Here is an 18901-nt window from a genome sequence, read left to right as displayed (position 1 = left end):
GGGGGGAGCTTCCATAGAGTTTGGAGCCTGTTATGGCATGTCTTGGAAAGGCATTAAAAAGTGCCACTGTAACTCCAGGGAACCTCTTCTCCTCTCATTCAGCTTGGCCTCTTGAGGCCCCCTCTCCTGCCCGATCCCTGGGACTCAGGTCTAGGTGGTACAGGGATATTTCAGCTCCACGTCGAGGGAGGGGGAACACCCACGTGGCAGGGAGGCAGGCGCCTTCCTCTCGCCCATGCCCCTCCAGCCCTCCTCCACTTCCTCCCAAAGGGCCCTGCCAATGAATCTTTCCAACCCTGACCCCAGCCTCTGTCCTTTACTCCACAGATAGATGGGTGGGGTGGGTGTGGGAAGGGAACCCTCTAAGGGGCTCAAAGTGTCTCCTTTCCTTGCTGTGTCTCCTTTCCTTGCTGCAGCCAAATAGTTGTCCCCAACCCTACCTCCCTGATCCCTGCCAGGCAGGTGTGAGTCTCTGCACACAGCACGCTCAACACCAGGAATATCTGCTTCGTTTCTCTCTAAGCCCTGCTTCTTCTCTCAGGCCTCTCTAAGGATTTTTGAAGAGAGGAATGCCCACCCCTGGGGTATGAGGTAGTCTGCAGGGTGGCACCACCAGCTTCAGGACATCTGGGGGTCCTCTATCTGAAACTCAAGTTTTACTGAAAGATGAATCAGGGAGACACACACAGACACACTCACAGGCACATACACACATACTTTGGAGTGAAATGCAAAATCCGCATTCAAAGAACACTTTCTCTCCTGTGCATTTATTTCGAGGCCTGTGCAGGAGGAGGCTGCTGCCCTTTGCTCTCCAAGATCTTAGGTTCGGATGTAGGAGAAGCCCATGGGGTCTCTGAGTCTTTTCTGACTGTTCCAGGTCACCCCACTCCCTGTTGGGTCCTTTCAGCCTCACTATCTCCCATGCATAGCGCTTTCTAACTGCAGCTTGGGCCGTGTGCCCCTCGGGGTTGCCCAGAGCTCACTGCAGGGCCTGAGGGCACAGGCAGGCCCGCGGCAGGCCTGGCCCATAGTCGCTAAAGAAGTACTGGTTGCCTGGTGTCTCTGCAGCCAGGCCAGTAGGGTAACCCTCTCCTTCCACGCCTCTTTCTTCCCAGAACCTGAATATCCAGGTGGAGGACATTCGGATTCGAGCCATCCTCTCAACCTACCGCAAGCGCACCCCAGTGATGGAGGGCTACGTGGAGGTGAAGGAGGGCAAGACCTGGAAGCAGATCTGTGACAAGCACTGGACGGCCAAGAATTCCCGCGTGGTCTGCGGCATGTTTGGCTTCCCTGGGGAGAGGACATACAATACCAAAGTGTACAAGTAAGAGGACTGCACCAAAGGGGTGGCTTTGAGGGTATCCGCCCTGCCTAAAAGAGTTAAAAGTGTCCGCCCTGGTGGTGGCCTTTCCTTGGCCAGGCATGGCCAGGCAAGCTGGTGTCCCTGCAGGCAGCCTGCACAGAGCCCCTGGGCCGGGCCAGGCGCCAAGTTCAAGGGTGCCCCGTGGCATCCTTACCCTTAAGGAACTCACACATCTACAGGAGATAGACCCTAATCCCTAGAGTAGCTTGTGGGAAGGCGTATTGCAGAAGTGAGATGCAAGCTGCCCCCAGCCCAGAGAACCCCAGCTCAGGGTGCTGCCGGCCAGCTCAGGGACTGCACGAGCTAGGCTAGGGCAATACCCTGGCCAGGCTGGGCACAGACAACACCAACTTAAGAAGAAATATTTACTTGCTCTTGGCAAATGATTCTTCTGAGAAATCTGGAAGTTGCAGCAGGTAATTGAGACACTGGTCCGTGCAGTTCACTTCATCCAATCCCAGTTAAATCTGACAATACTGTGATGATCGCTAAGGTTAATATTTCCCAGTAGGGGAAAGAAGTAGACAGGGACAGAACCTGGAGTCATTTTGACTTAAGGGGTGTCCAGTGGAAGGATTCCAGCACCCCAACAAGCTGATGGCTGGCGTATACTTGGGGTATACTTGGTTGGTCATGGGGTGTTCCTCCCTCCTCTTAATAATGATAGGAATACTGGCTTGGCTTTACCAAAGACTTATAATGTGCCAGGCACTATTCTCAGTCATTTAATCCTCGCACCACCACTGGGAAATAGGAGTCTGTTTTAGAGTTGAGTAAACTGGAGAAAGGTGATAGAACCAGGAAGGGGCAGATCCAGGCCTCACGCACACCCTGGCCTCTGGAGGTCCCCTGTGTCCAGCTATAGGGTCCACACTCTTAGAGGGTGCAGACTCACAGCACTGTCTCTTTCCTTCCAAATCAGAGGAAGAAAAGATGTGGCTTCCATGTCAGGAGACCTGGCTTGAAGCCCCAGCTGTACCCACCAGCTCCCTGGGGTGCCGGGCAGACCACATATCCCTCCCTGATCCTGGCCCAGCCCTGCCTGGACGGGGTGGGCCATAATTTTGTCCCAGCCCCCAGCCCCTCACATGGGTGGGTCAGTGCAGCTGCAGAGCTGCCCATTTGGGTGAGCACACAACACCCCAGGCTGGCCATGATGGTGATTCCAGTCCCCAGACATGGCCCAGACCTTCCTGTTGGCACCAGGAGTCGCCGTCCTCTGAATACTTTGGAGAACTCCCACCCGACTCCTTCCTTGGTGATACCTTCTCAGCTTTTCTTACCAGTCGGAGCCAAGAAAAGCAAACCCCCTCCCTGGCAGGCTTCCTACCTGGCTGGCCCTACCAGTGCCCCCAGCCTGGCTGCTGTTCTAAGCTGGACAGCACGCGCCTTGTTCAGATGGCGTTTGGAAGCCATCTCCCAACCGTGGCCAGTCCAGAGTCCTTCTCGGCTTTTGAGGAGTTGATCTCAGGCCAGTTTCGGCAGCTGGGCCCTGGGTAATCCTGTCACGTGCTGGATTGGAACCCCCATCCTGCCCCTCCCACCCTCTCGTCTGTGGCTTTGCCTTTTCAAGGACGGGGAGGATAAGGCTTCCAAGGCTGAGAGCGATCCAAGGAGGGGGTGGTGGGTGGTGCTGTCTGCAGGATGGGTGATGAAGAACAGAAGCTGCTGGAAACCAGCCCCTCCTGCAGCCTTCTAGCTGGAGAGGTGGGGCTGCCTTCCTAGCAGAGGAGTGGGAAGGGAAGCACGACCTTCTCAGCTTGGCCCTGTCATTTTGTGTTCGTCTCTGGGACTCAGTTGACAGTTAGGCCTACATGTGTCCCAAAGAGAAAGGTGCTGGGAAGGCTTTCTGTGCCTCGGTGGGCTGTCGGGGCTGAGCTGCCAGCAAAGGGCTAGGACTCCTAGGGAATGATAAGGCTCAGAGACCACTGGCCTAAGCCCTGGGTCTGCCTGGAAGAGAACATGGAAGAGGCCTGAAGGGCAGTGGACTCAGGGTGTCACAGCCCACACCCAGCAGAGCCTGCAGGACAGCCCAGGTCTGCTTCAGGGAGAGCACCACCCAGCAGTCTCCACCTGCTGGCCCTGCTGCAGCTCCTCTTCTCCCGGGGGTAGGGCCAGCTCAGAAGCTCTGGCCAGTCTGAGGGTTGTGGCAGGACTGGCCTGGGACTAGGGATATCCATGGGCGCTGCTCAGAAGCTGAGGACTGCAGAGGTCTGGAAGGCAGACTGAGGACCACCACCCTGCCCGGCCCTTGAAGCAGTGGCTTGCAGTTGCATCTTTCCCATGTCCCTTTCCCTCTTCCTACAGCCTGTGGCTGCTGTTGCTGGCAGCACACCTCTGAGGCCCAAGAAGGGACCCCCTTCCCTCCCGCCATGCAGCACTGCCCACTCTGCAGGAAATTATTTTCAAAGTAATTCCCAGTCTGGGGTGGAGTTAGTAATCTCCATGTATCCACCAAGGCCCGTGAAGGACCTTATAGCCTCGGAAGCTCACCTGCTTAACCCCCGAGGGCCCCCCACCTTGGGCCCCCCCACCCCGCTGCTGCCTTACTGGACTGGCTCCCTCTGTGAACCTGCTGGGCTGGTGGCCACTCGGAAGCCTGAGAGCTGCCCCCTGGCCACCAACTGCAGCTCTTCCTCAGCACCTCTGCTTCCCCTAGTGATACGGTTTGGCTGTGTCCCCACCCAAATCTCATCTTGAATTGTGGCTCCCATAACCCCACATGTCGTGGGAGGGACCCAGTGGGAGGTAACTGAATCATGGGTGTGGGTTTTTCCCATGCTGTTCTCATGATAGTGAATAAGTCTCATGAGACCTGATGGTTTTATAAAGGCCAGTTCCCCTGCACACGCTCTCTTGCCTGCTGTCATGTAAGACGTGCCTTTGTTCCTCCTTCACCTTCTGCCATGATGGTGAGGCTTCCCCAGTCACGTGAAACTGTTGAGCTTATTGAACCTCTTTCCTTTATAAATTACCCAGGCTCGGGTATGTCTTTATTAGCAGCATGAGAATGGACTAATACCCTCCAGTTACCTGCACATACCCCAGAGGTCTCTGCAGCCACAGGCTTGCCAAAAGTAGAGTCAGGGGCTCCTCACCAAGGCCTGCTCTCTGATTGGTGTGGCCGTGGCACTGACTTCCACACCGGGCTGGGGTGCAATGCATGTACCTTAAAGCTAATGAAGCTTAAACTTCAGGCCCCCATTCCTGGTGCCAAGAGGGAGCATTTTGTAGTCATAATTTTGTTCTCCCAAAAGTAGGATCCCAATACTGACATCATTTAATTGAAATGAGCTCTCTAAGCAGAGATTCTGCATTTAATGTTGCAGCTGAGGAAGTTAGAAAGGCCTCCAGCGGTTTGCCTGGTTGGTTGGCTGAAATGTGGACCAAAGTGTGGCCCACAGTGAGTGAGTAGAAATGCTGACCCTGCCTCTGTTGTGTGTAGAGGACAGAATTCAAAAGCTTAGGGAGGTTGGATGTTAGAGTGGATCTTACCTTTAAGACCTCCTCACCCACGCTGGGAAGCTCCTGAAGACATGCCTTTCACCTTGATGGTGAGAAGTAAATATATGAAAGGAGCTCCAGCCTCCTTGAGGAGCTGTGATCACTCTTCTCTGAAGGCCAGACCTCACAGCAGGAACAGCAGCCACTGAACCAGTAACCTGAATGCGACCGGAGTAATTGGCTCCAGGGTGGCGGGGGCCCCGTGGCTGTAGTACTACCAAAGGCAAGGTGGACGTGCTGACCCTATTGGACAGTGGAGTCAAAGCAGAAATCAGTCTGACTGCTGCAGACCTGTGGTGTTGGCTGGTTGATCATGATGTTCCTCGAAGTGAAATAGACAGGAAGCCTACTAAGTTCGTACTTAATCTGTATAAGCAGAAAACTTCTAGGTCAAGCAAACAAAAGTCTATCCCAAATCATAAAAGCAGAGTAGAGTCATGACCCCTCAATCCATTCCCGTACTTGAGCCAGTTTTATCAGACTGGAAGCTCTTGAATGAGGGAAAGGCTGGGTACCCTCAAGGAAGCACCCTCGTAGCCTGCCAGAAATCTATACTGTATTCTTTCTCCCAGTTCTCCAAAGACACCTTTCACCAGGATGAGCGTGCATTGGAGAAAAGGAAATAATCAGATCTTTTGGACTACTGGCCACTGGTTCTGAGCTGACAGTAATTCTAGGAGACCCAGAACATCAAAGTGGGGGCTTATGGGTTTTTAGCTTACGTCCATCTGAAACCCATTCTGTGCTATTTCCCCACTTCCGGAAAGCATCATGGAAATAGATGTACTCAGCAGCTGGCAGAATCCCACGGCATCTGCCTTCACTCTTGGCAAGGGGAGCACCGGTCGGTAGGACTCTTGGTTGAATCAGTCCAGCTCCGTGTTCTTCCTACAGTCCAGCTATTGGCCTAGCTGCCTCTTTCACAGGCAGGCTTCCCGCTCCACTCCACTCAAGGCTGCCTCACTCACTCCAGTCACTCCTCCAGTCTCCAGGTCTGGAGCGGGGTGGGCTGTCTTCCACCCTCCGTGGGCCTCCGTCTGCAGCTCAGAGGCCTGTCCCCAGTGAAACACTGGGATGGAGGAGGGGAGGGGAGGGTATCCCCTGGGAGGCCTGAACGTGCTAGAGGGTCTGCAGCACATTCCTGGGGGCTGATGTCAGAGGGATCCGGGCTGCTGGGGACAGTTGTTTGCTGTGGGCTCTGCACTCTTCATTTAGAACGCAGGACATCTGTTCCTGGAGAGGGTGGCGCTCACTGACGGCTGGAAGCAGAGGGGTTTTCCTGAGCCAAGGCAGGCGGTGAGGTCTGACCAATCCTCGAGCAGCTGGTGTTCCCCCGAGTATCTTCTCCCGCCCCTGTGTGGGCGTCATGGAACATGCTGTAAGCTTCCAAGTGCAGGGGCCTTGCAGGAAGTGTGTCTGGAGGGCAGTGGTTCCTGGAATTATTAATAGCCCTCCTGAGCAGTTCTCTGCCCTGGGCTGCCGCTGTGGTGAGCACGCACCCTGAATTTGCCAGGATAGTCCTCAGCAAGATTCCGTGTCATTGTGTTCACAAGCACACTAGAATTGTAACAAGTCTCAGATTTGGGTTAAGGAGAGATGATAACTGTGTCTGTAGGATTTGCCCTTCCTCTGTCTTCACACCCCATTCACTCTGAGACAAAGGAGGTACTTCCAGGGCTGCTGGACCAGCAGGGATGGGACCTCGCCTCTGCCCTGTCTTGGGGTCAGCCTGCCCAGCGAGTACCCTCTGCTGGCTCCTTCTGGCATCTTACTGGGTCCTGCCGTGCAGGGACAAGCACACGGGCCCTGAAAAGCTGGGTCGACATGAGCAGGTAGCAGGGCCTTCCTGGACCTCCTTTGTTTCAGATCCCACCATCATTCAGGGCCCAATTTAAAGGCTTCTCTTCCGTAAAGTCTCCCATCACTCCAACCATGGAATCCCTCCCTCCTGTCACTCTTCTTTTTTTTTCTTTAACAAATACAGTTTTATTTATTTACTTATTTATTTCACAAACTCTTATGTAGCTCTTCCTATCTCTGGGCACTGTTTTAAGTGACAAGTATTAACTCATTTAAACTGTCACAACAGGCCAGGCACTGACGCATGCCTATAATCCCAGCACTTTGGGAGGCAGAGGTGGCCAGATCACCAGAGGTCAGGACTTCGAGACCACCCTGGTCCCAGGAGACCTCAACTTCTCCAGAGTTCTAGCCTCTTCTTAAAGGGCCAGAGTCATGGGAACCCAGATGGGGTGAGGGGGTCTCCTGCCACGGCCTCCTTACAATGATATGACTTGGCATAAATTTGGATACTACCTCCAAATACAGATTTATGGTCTGGCGTGATAGCTCATCCCTGTAATCCCAACGCTTTGGGAGGCCGAGGGAGGCAGATTACCTGAGGTCAGGAGTTCGAGAGCAGCCTGGCAACACGGTGAAACACTGTCTCTACTAAAAATACAAAATTAGCCGGATGTGGTGGCAGGTACCTGTAATCCCAGCTACACGGGAGGCTGAAGCAGGAGAATTCCTTGAACCTGGGAGGTGGAGGTTGCAGTGAGTTAAGATCGCGCCAAAGCACTCCAGCCTGGGCAACAGAGTGAGACTCCATCTCAAAAAAAAAAAAACAACAACAAATAAATAAACTGTCACAATAATCTAGTGAAGCAGATACTACTTCTGATTTTGGACATGAGAAACTGAGGTACAGTATCCTTTTTGGTAGCCAATCTATTACTTATCAGTTGGTTACTGTTTTAGAAAAAAAAAAACTGAATTACCTGCATCTATATTCTGCCTTTAAAAAAAAACATACAAAGGAACACTTTGCACATGTTAACAATACAGGCTAAGGGCTTCCTTAGGATATGGTACAGAGACAAGCTCAACCTCACTGATCTTCCTGGGTGCAGGAAGCAGTAGTTGCATTACCATTATAATTTCTATTGCTAGGCAGATTGTACTTTGATTCAGCAGATGGAGTAATTTAAGACTGTTTTCATTGTTTCTCATTGGAAATACAAATTTAATCTTGTATATCGTTGGGAGAGTTTAGCAATCAGCTTGTACTGCTCATTGACAAAGAAAAATAAAGCTAAAGAATGACAACAGGCTGGGCACAGTGGCCCATGCCTATAATCCCAGCACTTTGGGAGGCCGAGGCAGGCAGATCATTTGAGATCAGGAGTTTGAGACCATCCTGGCCAACATGGCGAAACCCCGTCTCTACTAAAAATACAAAAATTAGCTGGGCGTGGTGGCAGGTACCTGTAGTCCCAGCTACTCAGGAGGCTGAGGCTGCAGAATTGCTTGAATCTGGGAGGCAGAGGTTGCAGTGATTGCACCACTGCACTTCTGCCTGGGGGAATAGAGTGAGACTCTGTCTCAGAAAAAAAAAAGAATGACAACAAATTTTGTTGGAATTATCTGAAGAGTTAGGGTAAACATGGTTTACCTTCGACTGTGAGGGGTTTTCTAGGACCAGGGATCTCACCTGTTTTAAATACCTTTGTGCATTCTGTGTTCCTGGGCTTTATTATTATTATTTCACCACATTGAGTGAGTCCTTTCTTTCCTAGAATGGAAGCTGCCTGAGGGCAGGAGGCCTTGTCCACCCTCTGCGTCCTGTCCCCCAGTGCCTAGTGTGGTGCAGGCATTAGCAGGTGCTCAGTGAATGCTGGCAGAATGGACTGAGCTGGGACCCTCTGTGAAGCAGGGCTGAGCTCCAGGAGCAGGGCCCAGTCTCTCATGTTCTGCCTCGTTGCAGAAGGAATCGGGGTAGGCGTCATGATGCCCTGGTCCCCTGTCCCCTCCCATCGTCTGCAGAATGTTTGCCTCACGGAGGAAGCAGCGCTACTGGCCATTCTCCATGGACTGCACCGGCACAGAGGCCCACATCTCCAGCTGCAAGCTGGGCCCCCAGGTGTCACTGGACCCCATGAAGAATGTCACCTGCGAGAATGGGCTACCGGCCGTGGTGAGTTGTGTGCCTGGGCAGGTCTTCAGCCCTGACGGACCCTCAAGATTCCGGAAAGCGTACAAGCCAGAGGTGAGGACGGGGCACGAGGTGTGGCCACTTGGCACCTGGAGGGGATGGGAGGGTGTTGAGGGAGTAGGCAGGATCCCCCAGGAGAGTGAGGAAGGGTGGCCTCAGCGGAGATCACCATTGTGGCTGCTTTACTCTGAGACCTGAGCGCCCTCTGCAGAGAAGGACCACCTGGGGGAGAAGAATACCCCAGCATCAGTTGTCACAGGCTGTTGGTGCGCTGTCCGCTTACCCAGCAGGAGCAGACGATGAAGGGTTGTGCGACAGGGACCTTGTGTCCCTGCACAGTTCCCAAAGGACAGCTGGAAATGTGACCCAACTCTGAAAAGCACATGCAGTCAGCGACACATTTGCAAGCATGTTTGGTTTATTTTGCAACAGAAAGGGTAACAATTTTAAAAAGCTTCCACCAAGGTAGAAAACCTGCCATTATCCTAAGTCATCTATACATTAGTCACATTATACTTATGTGAAACACCCCCCCTCTGTGGGGGGGGTGTATGTGTATGGGGGTGTGTGTATGAGTCTGTGCGTGTGTATGAGTGTGTGTGTATGTGTGCGGGGGTGAGTGTGTGGGTGTGTATGAGTGGGGGTGTATGAGTGTGGGTATGAGTGTGGGGGGGTGTATGAGTGTGTATGAGTGGGGGTGTGTATGAGTTTATGGGGGTGTATGAGTGTGTGTGTATGAGTGCATGTGTATGAGTGTGTGGGGGGTGTATGAGTGTGTGTATGAGTGTGGGGGGGTGTATGAGCGTGTGAGTGTGGGTGTGTATGAGTGGGTGTGTTGGGTGTGTATGATTGTGAGGGGTGTCTGGGGGGGATGTGTGCGTGGGTGTGTGTGTATGAGTGTGGGTGTGTGGGGGTGTATGAGTGGGGGTGTGTGTAGGGATGTGTATGTGTGTGTATGAGTGGGGGGGTATGGGAGTGTGTGGGGGGTATGTGTGTGGGTGTGTCTGTAGGAGTGTGTGGGGTGTGTTTGTGGGTGTGTGGCGGTGTGTGTATGAGTGTGTGTGTATGAGTGTGTATGTGGGGTGTGTGTGGGTGTGTATGAGTGTGGGGGTGTATGTGGGGGTTGTGTATGTGTGTAGGGGGTGTGTATGAGTGTGTGTGGGGGTCTGTGTGGGTTGTGTGTATGTGTGGGTGGTGTGTATAAGTGTGTGGGGGTGTGAGTGTGTAGGGGGTGTGTGGGGTGGGTGTGGGTGTGTGTGGGGTGTGTGTGTGTGTGTGAGAGAGTGTGAGTGTGTGTGTGAGTGTATTCCTGAAATGCAGATGAACATCTTCCCATATAAAGTAACAGCCCCATTTCAATGGGCCGATTTCTTTTTTCTTTTCTTTTCTTTTCTTCTTCTTCTTCTTTTTTTTTTTTTTGAGACAGAGTTTCACTCTTGTTGCCAGGCTGGAGTGCAATGGCATGATCTTGGTTCACTGCAACCTCCGGCTCCTGGGTTCACGCGATTCTCCTGCCTCGGCCTCCCAAGTAGCTGAGATGACAGGCACCCGCCACCACGCCTCGCTAATTTTTGTATTTTTAGTAGAGATGGGGTTTCACCATGTTGGCCAGGCTAGTCTTGAACTCCTGACCTCAGATGGCCCACCCGCCTCAGCCTCCCAAAGTGCTGGGATTACAGATGTGAGCCCACTGGCCGATTTCCTAGAACAAGTAAAGTAGTCCAACCACAGCAGGCTTGACCCAGCCTCTGACAAAGAGCAAATGCCCTATCTGTCTCTTCTTGATTCGCTTTTCTTTCTCCTCCTCTTCCTTTTTCCTGTATCCATCAAAGGGTCTCTGTGATTTCTGTGTTCAGGAAACAGCGAATATCTTGTGAGTGGGTGGGAATAGCAACTGGGAAGAGGAGAGGGAGGGATAGGAGAAGTGACCGATCATTTCTCAGGGGCTGATGCCCTGTGCCAGGTAAAACCTCAGTACTTAGTGCACTGTTTGCTGACGCGGCATGAGTAGATGAGACAGCATCTGATTAGCGTGATGATCGTAGTAATCATCACCTTGGCAGGGGTGAGTTCCAGGTGGGCTGTCACCAAGTCAGGGATAAGAGAGAGCCAGAGGAGGGAGAAGGGCTCTGGGGTGGGGGCAGAGAGTGTGTCAGCCAGGTCCAGGCAGCCAGGCAGGAGCAGCAGAGGCTGAGCCAACCAGCTTTCCCCCAGCCATGCCCTTTTGGCTCCTCTCCTGTCCCCTCCCTCTTTCCCCTCTCCCCTCCCCGGTCTCCCCTCTTTGTTGAGACCTGCTGTGGAAAGGAGGTTATTACACTCCTCCAATATAAAAGGGACACCGTGACAAGAGCCGGATAAACCACACTGGGTGCCCCCATCCCAGGCTTGGTGGAGATTTGAACAAAAGACTGAGCCTTCAGTGAGAGGAGTGAAATGCATGCTGGGAGCCCAGCCCTCCTCAACCAGAGGGAGTGGGAACTATCAGGAGTGACTTCCTGGCAATTTCAGGAGGCCCTGCCTCCTCAGTCCCCTCAAGAGCCTCTGAAGAGCACAGAGGGGACCACACCATCATATGTGTGCCTCCAGGACACGCCTGGACAGCGCCATGTCCCTCTCCTCCGACAATCAGTCCACCACCCCCCAAACCCCCACCACACCCTGCTTGCCCCCTGTGTATGATTTGATGGCCACATCCTTTCCACAGCCTCAGCCTGAGCCTCTGAGCTTTCCTTGTGTGTCATCCAGAATACCAGATCCTACTGTTTTGGAATTCCTCTACTGTGCGGTTTAAAGCAAAGGAATCAAGTTCATACCAAACCAATTAAAACAGAGCGAGCGTGCCTTACATCATATTTTCCCTTGGTTTCTTTCTTTCCTCTGGGGCCAGCTGACTGCTTGGCCATAGCTGGGCTGGGGCGAGGTTATTTGACCTCTGCCTCCATTAAGCTTAGGTCATGGATGGTCCATTCTGTGGGAAGACAGCTTGGGAAGGGAGGTCAGGGAAGCAGGAGGCCACCATTCTACAGAAAACAGAGGTTGCAGCCAGCCAGTAGTTATGCGTGTTTTGTTCTGTTTGGATTTTTTTTGTTTTATTTTGTTTTGTTTTGTTTTGTTTTGTTTTGAGACGGAGTCTCGCTCTTTCGCCCAGGCCAGAATGCAGTGGCGCAATCTCGGCTCACTGCAAGCTCCGCCTCCCGGGTTCACGCCATTCTCCTGCCTCAGCCTCCCGAGTAGCTGGGACTACAGGCACCCGCCACCGCACCTGGCTAATTTTTTGTATTTTTTTGTTTTTTAGTAGAGACGGGGTTTCACCATGTTAGCCAGGATGGTCTCAATCTCCTGACCTCGTGATCCACCCGCCTTGGCCTCCCAAAGTGCTGGGATTACAGGCGTGAGCCACCGCACCTGGCCCTGTTTGGGTTTTTTTTTAAAGCTAGGGTAAAAGATCCTGCAGTCACTGGCTGTTTTCCCCTTTTTTCTTCTCCCCATACTGCGGGGGTCAGAGCAGTCCCTGAGGTCTGTAAATCTGGGTGCTGTCCCAGCACCCCACCATGCCATGGCCAGCCCCAAGGTACAATTGGTAGAGAGGCAGGTTCTTGTATGATGCCATCCCGCTGAAGGTAGCTGGTGGACATGAATGCTTGAAAAGGTCATCTCCACCCAGGCCTGCCTCGCCGTGGCCATCAGTGGTAGGGTGAAGGCAGTTCTGGGCTAAGGACAACATAGGCTAGGGCAGGCAATGACTCTGGTCTGATATGACACACCTAGAATGGCTACACAGTCTTCCTCACTCCCTCTGTGGAGTTGAATGAGCATCAGCAGTAGCTGAGAGCCTCATAGGCTTCTGAGCCTCCTCCAAAACACACACACGCATACATGCAGCATGCATGCAGGTGAGCTTACACACACACGTGCCACACATGCAGAGAAACAGATGCAAACCTGGGTATGTGGACAGCTGGAGTCAAATGACCCAGCTCCCATCTTGTAAGACATGATGCACTGTGGCCAAGACGTAGAGAGTCTTACTCCTGTCTAACTCAGTAAAGCCCACAAGGAGATTAAAGCTTCCAGACTGTCAGTGAACACTGGGGGTGTTTAAACTCTAATTCTCCACCCTCTCTGCATAGCTGATTGGGCTGCATCTTCTGGAGTCAGGCCAATTTGGACTTGGAGTCAAATTGAGGGAGGCTGGGCATGCCCCCAGCCCTGGGACAAATCAGTATGAGGCTCCCCATCCATTCTCTGAGTCATGGCTGTATGAAGGTTGGCTTTCCAGCTGCCTGTCTTCCCGTTCTGCTCCCTCCTGCCTCTAGCTGGTGTGCACAGCAGAATCGTTCCAGTGCCTGCCTAGTACTTTGGAGTCTCTGCAGGCCTAGACTGTAGCACTGTGTTATAAGCAAGGTTGATCCAAACTTGCTTAGAAGCAACCTTGTTACAAGAAAGAATTATTATCCATTTGGAATCTGCAGACTTTGGAGGGTAGGCGCTTCTTTCTGTAGCTCTGAAGCATGAGGCTCTGGAGTTGGTGGGGGACGTGCTGATGGAAGGATCCTTGTGCCACGCAAAGGTTGGGGTGATGAGTGATCGACGGTCCCCAATGGGCTCCCCAGGGGACCAGGACAGAAGCTCCACGCGAGGGCTGCAAAGGGAGCTTGCACCAGAGCTGACTCTATAGAGGAAGCTCCCACACCCCAACACACCCACGACACACACACACACACACACACACACACACACACACATCCATACATCAAGCATAGTTGCAGCTCCCAGACTGAGTGCCTGGCCTGGGAACAGGGTGGCAGGGAAGGGAGGGGGCGGGGACAGTGGTCACCCGCTGAACGTGCATCAGCGTCTGTACTCAGCAGGACCGTGTGTCTCTTCAGCAACCCCTGGTGCGACTGAGAGGCGGTGCCTACATCGGGGAGGGCCGCGTGGAGGTGCTCAAAAATGGAGAATGGGGGACCGTCTGCGACGACAAGTGGGACCTGGTGTCGGCCAGTGTGGTCTGCAGAGAGCTGGGCTTTGGGAGTGCCAAAGAGGCAGTCACTGGCTCCCGACTGGGGCAAGGTAAGGAATGGGGAGGCTAGAGGGGGCCTCTCTTCCTGGGAGCATGGTGCCGTGAGCCCAGCCTGGCTGCTGGCCGTGAGCTCTCGGGAAATCCTCACTTTCCCTCCTCCCTTTAGTGGCTGCCTGGGAGAGAATCCCAGGCCTCTCCCTAGACAGAGTTGAAAGGGGCCTTAGAGAACACTGAGACCCTATTTTATAGATTTGGAAGCAGAGGCCCAAAAGACGGAGTAAACATCCAAGGTGAGATAACATATTAGCAGCCAATGAATACTCCCCCGTAGGTCTCCCAGCTCCTAACCCAGTGCTCTCTGCTGTCTTACCAAAAAACGCCAGGGTTCTCAGGCCCCTCCTGCAGGAGAGGGCCTCCGAGTTCACCAGACTGAACCACTCTGTACAACAAAAGGACCAAATGCCATCTTACTTTTCCTCCCTGGAGCAGCCCTGCACACACTCCCTCCCTGACAGCAGAGAAAGGGAACAAGAAGCCGCCCTCCGGATGTCCTCAGACTAATTGAGAAAGGGCCTGCTTTTTATTAACTGTCCTGAACAAATCTTTCATGTGAGCAAAAAAACGGAAGGGAGGCTTTCAAGTGGGTCCGTTGGTGGAAAGTGATGTTGCAGCTAGAAGACGACACAGAAGAGGTCATTTCTCCTCCCCAGGAAGCCCCACGACCACCATTTATCCTTGCGAGCCTTGGTCATTCAACAGGGGGAGATTTTACCCCGAACAGACTGTGCGGTCTAGGAGTGCCCAGTCTTCCCCGAGACAACTGTGACTTGAGTGAGGGAAGTCATGGTCATTTCCTGGAATCTTTTCAGCCTTGACCAGCAGGGAGGCCGCTGCAGACCGTCGGCTGCTATGGCTGGGAAGGGATAGGTAGGAAGCAGAATAGGCTACAGACAAGCGGTGGGGTGGCCTGTCCAGTGGGGAGGGGATATTTCCATAGTGTCAGATGTTGGGCCATCACCCCACAGAAAGGAATGTGGTGAGGTCACTGATCACAGCCTGGAAGAAATGATAGCCCTCACTAGCCCAGGGCCTCACACCACATCCAGTGGTTTTCTGTGTGAGACTGTAGAATCCTGCATTGAACTTAACCTCCAGCTGAGTCAAAGACCGTAGAGCTTTCCTCCTTCTAGAAGTGGAGCTCATCTGTCTAGTGCCATTGGTTGGTTCTTTCTACGGCCTACCCATGCCCTAGCCTGCAGTGGGTCAGCTCTTACAGGGTGCCCTGACGTTGGAAGGAAGCCCGCATTCCAGTGGCCTCGAGAGAGTCCTGAAATGATGGACAGTACTGCTGGAGAGACCTCAGGTCCTCTAGTCCAAGAGTTGAGGAGAACAAGTCTGAGGTCACCCCATTCATTGCTGGCAGAGAAAGACTGAAAGCCAAGTCTTCTAACTCTCAGACAAGGGCTTCTTCCTTATGCCCACCTTGGCCCAGTCCTGTTCACATTCAGAATGTCTCTCTGCCTCTGTTCTCCAGTCTGTGCAAGCTTCCAGGTGTGCACTGAAGTTTGGAGGTCTGGGGTGCACTCTGAGTCACATCATGCCACCTGGCAGCTTCCATTGGGCCATATAACAGTGCTCCTTCCCTGGGCATGGTGAGCTCCACAGGATCCCCTGGATCTTTTTTGGAGACAGAGTCTCACTCAGTCACCCAGCACAGTGGCGCGATCTCGGCTCACTGCAACCTCTGCCTCCCCGGTTCAAGCAATTATCCTGCCTCAGCCTCCCAGGTAGCTTGGATTATGGGTGTGCACCACCACACCCAGCTAATTTTTGTATTTTTAGTAAAGACGGGGTTTCACCATGTTGGCCAGGCTGGTCTTGAACTCCTGACCTCAAGTGATCCACCCACCTCGGTCTCCCAAAGTGCTGGGATTATAGACACGAGCCACTGCACCTGGCCTCCCTGGATCTTGACTATCCCTGCAGTCATTTACTGATTGGCCGATGTGTGGGTTTGTGCTCTCCAAGGGCCTACAGGACAAAGACCACTCATTCTGAGGAATAAACAGGCCCTCGATGACATAAACATTCCATTTATCATGGGTGTGTGCTATGTGACCTAATCATTTCACTGCCCAGAGCAGCCAGAGGTTTCCAGGGGCCTGCAGAACTCTGGGAGAAAGAGGCATTTGGCATTTTGGATGCTGTCCTTGTAAGAAGCAGTGGATGATTGATATCTCCTGTCATGCTGGGCAGGGTCAACTCTAGTAGGCAGAAAGGGAAAAGTACCACATTTAATGTCAAGTCACAGAGCAGACAGGGTCAGCCCCTCAGCCCTGGCTCTAGCTGATGGACTCAGTGACCACACCCACAGCCACGAGGCATGAAAGGGCAATGACTGTGAGTCGGGCAATCTGAGTCCTCCTCCCTGCCCAGCCACCTGCTTGCTTGGTGACCTTGAGCAACCTTCTGGGCCTCAGATTCTTCACTGTGAAACAAGGTGGCTGGACGCACAGCACCTGCAGCTCTGACTGGCTCCAGCCTCACCAGCATAGACATGAGGTCCTGGTCAGGCTCTCTGCTCTGTGCCTTAGGACCCCTGCCCGCATCGGGACCCCAACTGCCTGTTGGTGCCTCCATGTCCCTGCAAGGCTGCATGCCACATGAGGGGAGCACCTGTGTCTTTATCTCTGTGTCCTTAGTGCCGAGTCCGCCAGCATGCAGCGCTCCAGTGCTATTCAGTTGTAAGGAATGAATGAATGTGTTCCAGTTGAATCAGTAGGATCAGTAGAACAAATACTTGGTGAAGAAGTTCCAACACTAGACCGGTGCTGTCTGATAGAAACAGAACAGGACTCACGCCTGTAATCCCAGGACTTTGGGAAGCAGAGGCAGGAGGATCACTTGAGCCTGGGAGTTCAAGACGAGCCTGGGCAACATAGTGAGACCCCCTCTCTACAAAATTTTTTTAAAAATTAGCCAGACATGGTGGTACACACCTGTGGTCCCAGCTACTCAGAAGGCTGAGGTGGGAGGATCACTTGAGCCCTCGAGGTAGGCTGCAGTGAACCATGATCATGTCACTGCACTCCAGCTTGAGTGACATAGCGAGACTCTGTCTCTCAAAAAGAAAACAAATAGAACCGGAACCACGCATGTAACTTTGCATTTTCTAGTAGCCACAATTTTAAAAAGATGACGTTAGCTTTAATAATGTATTTTCTTTAAACCAGTGTATCCAAAATATTATTTCAACATGTAATCAATATGAATGCTATTAATGAGATCATTTGCATATTTGGTGCTAAGTCTTTGAAATCCAGTATGTATTTTACACTTAACAGACCTCTCAGTTTGTCTGCATTTCTGAGTAGACAAACTGGCTGGCTACATTTCAAGTGCTCAATAGCCACATGCAGCTGGTGGCTCCTGTACTGGAGGGGGCAGCTCCCCAGTTTTACAGCAGTGGCTTGAAAACCCTTTTGCATGCAGTCCCCAAGAAGGAATGCATGTGACATGTAAAACTCCAGCAAAGGTTTTCTAAACAAGAGCTTAGCTTTACAATATGCAGAACCCGTGACATGTCCTATTCTGTTCTCTTGTGCTTCCTACAATCTGAATGTAACCAGCTTAGTTGACAGTTCAGCCCACTCATTGGCCTGGACCCATGGAAGCCGTAACACTGCTCTATGATGTTAGACGCGGCTTTTCCACTGTGCCCTAATTCTGCCTCACGCCTTGTGGTCACCTAGGCCAGGGTTTGTATGTGGAGAAGAACAGAGCCAAGGTGGAGACGGGGAAGGCACCATGAGGAGGAGCAATTCAGGGGTGCTCCAGAACACAGGAGTAGGTGACAGCTGCAGGTCAAGGATGCAGAATGCCAAGCCCAGGTCAGCAGAAGGAACCAGAAGTCCACAGACACCCAGACGCTGAAGCCAGACACCCAGTCCAGTGTCCTTCGGAGCCTCTTCCACCCTGCCCAACCCCCCACGGAACTCAGTGGGGCAGGAAGAGAGTGAGCCACACTGGGCCTCTTTCTCTGTGCCCTTCCTTGGACGCACCATGGGTATGTGTGCTTCAGGAGGGAGGCCCTGCCCCCCGGAGCCTTGTCCCCAGATGTCTGAGACAGCCACGCAAGTTTACATAGACGTTCAGCCACAAGGAGACTGACCCCAGATGGCTGAGACAGCCACGCAAGTTTACACAGAAGTTCAGCCAGAAGGAGACCAACCAGTTGAGTCTGAAGCATGCTAGGCTCTTAAGTTGGCTTTACCTGTCCTGTCCAGTCTTGAGCTGTAGTCTTAGCAATCCACAAACACTGTTTGAGTGCTTTTCAGCCTGGATCCTGGAATGAAGAATTCATTTATTCCACAAATGCTCCGCTCTCCAGGAGTTCATGTCAAGTGGCAGAAATAAGAAATAACCTTAATCAGGCCAGGCATGGTGGCTTGCATCTGTAATCCCAGCACTTTGGGAGGCCGAGGCGGGCAGATCACAAGGTCAAGAGATCGAGACCATCCTGGCCAACATGGTGAAACCCCATGTCTACTAAAAACACAAAAATTAGCTGGGCATGGTGGCATGTGCCTGTATTTCCAGCTACTCAGGAGGCCAAGGCAGAAGAATCGCTTGAACCTGGGAGGTGGAGGTTGCAGTGAGCCGAGATGGCGTCACTGCACTCCAGCCTGGGCAACAGAGCAAGAGTTCGTCCCACCCCCACCCCCCCAAAAAAAAAATCCCGATCTGGCAAAACACATATTATAATTAATTGGCCTTTTACAAATGAGGAAGGTAGAGCTAAAGCTTTTATCACTCCAAGGATTCAACCTAATCTTCAGCCTCAAGCTGAATTCAATCTCAGGCTGCCTGCCCAGCTCACTGCCGCTTGAGCAAGATGTGTAAAAAGCAAAAGTTCAGACAAGTGGGAGGTCTTTCAAGCTGCACCATGGAGGAAGCTGGAGGTTTTTCTTCAAGGCAGGCTTCTCCTTAGGTGGAGGCAGAAAGAGGACAG

General features: G+C 52.5%; 1 protein-coding gene and 1 long non-coding RNA gene across 2 annotated transcripts in view, besides 3 other annotated features; one reads left to right on the top strand and one right to left on the bottom strand.

Moving 5' to 3' along the window:
* The window catches only part of LOXL2-AS1 (LOXL2 antisense RNA 1), a 29918-nt gene extending 23804 nt beyond the window's left edge, over positions 1-6114 (bottom strand). Inside the window, exons 1-2 of the long non-coding RNA NR_038323.1 lie at positions 4865-6114; positions 1173-1296 (exon numbers count right to left, since the gene is read on the bottom strand). This is a non-coding gene — a long non-coding RNA (LOXL2 antisense RNA 1). The remainder of the gene's footprint in view (positions 1-1172; positions 1297-4864) is intronic.
* The window catches only part of LOXL2 (lysyl oxidase like 2), a 107224-nt gene that overhangs the window by 61799 nt on the left and 26524 nt on the right, over positions 1-18901 (top strand). Inside the window, exons 4-6 of the mRNA NM_002318.3 lie at positions 1119-1330; positions 8699-8921; positions 13757-13940. Coding sequence (NP_002309.1) covers positions 1119-1330; positions 8699-8921; positions 13757-13940 — 619 coding nt within the window. The remainder of the gene's footprint in view (positions 1-1118; positions 1331-8698; positions 8922-13756; positions 13941-18901) is intronic.
* Positions 3505-4005: an enhancer, noted in NCBI's record as "H3K4me1 hESC enhancer chr8:23195830-23196330 (GRCh37/hg19 assembly coordinates)". NCBI's record gives its function as "activates a minimal SCP1, AML or CMV promoter by ChIP-STARR-seq in primed H9 embryonic stem cells {active_cell/tissue: H9 hESC(primed)}" and the evidence as "EXISTENCE:reporter gene assay evidence [ECO:0000049][PMID:30033119]".
* Positions 6070-6319: an enhancer, noted in NCBI's record as "active region_27116". NCBI's record gives its function as "activates an Ori minimal core promoter by ATAC-STARR-seq in GM12878 lymphoblastoid cells {active_cell/tissue: GM12878}" and the evidence as "EXISTENCE:reporter gene assay evidence [ECO:0000049][PMID:35858748]".
* Positions 17332-17832: an enhancer, noted in NCBI's record as "H3K4me1 hESC enhancer chr8:23182003-23182503 (GRCh37/hg19 assembly coordinates)". NCBI's record gives its function as "activates a minimal SCP1, AML or CMV promoter by ChIP-STARR-seq in naive H9 embryonic stem cells {active_cell/tissue: H9 hESC(naive)}" and the evidence as "EXISTENCE:reporter gene assay evidence [ECO:0000049][PMID:30033119]".

Source organism: Homo sapiens, chromosome 8, assembly GCF_000001405.40.
Source record: "Homo sapiens chromosome 8, GRCh38.p14 Primary Assembly".
Classification (NCBI taxonomy): domain Eukaryota; kingdom Metazoa; phylum Chordata; class Mammalia; order Primates; family Hominidae; genus Homo; species Homo sapiens.
Note: the sequence above shows the minus strand (reverse complement) of the source record. Positions and strands in the feature narration are given on the sequence as shown.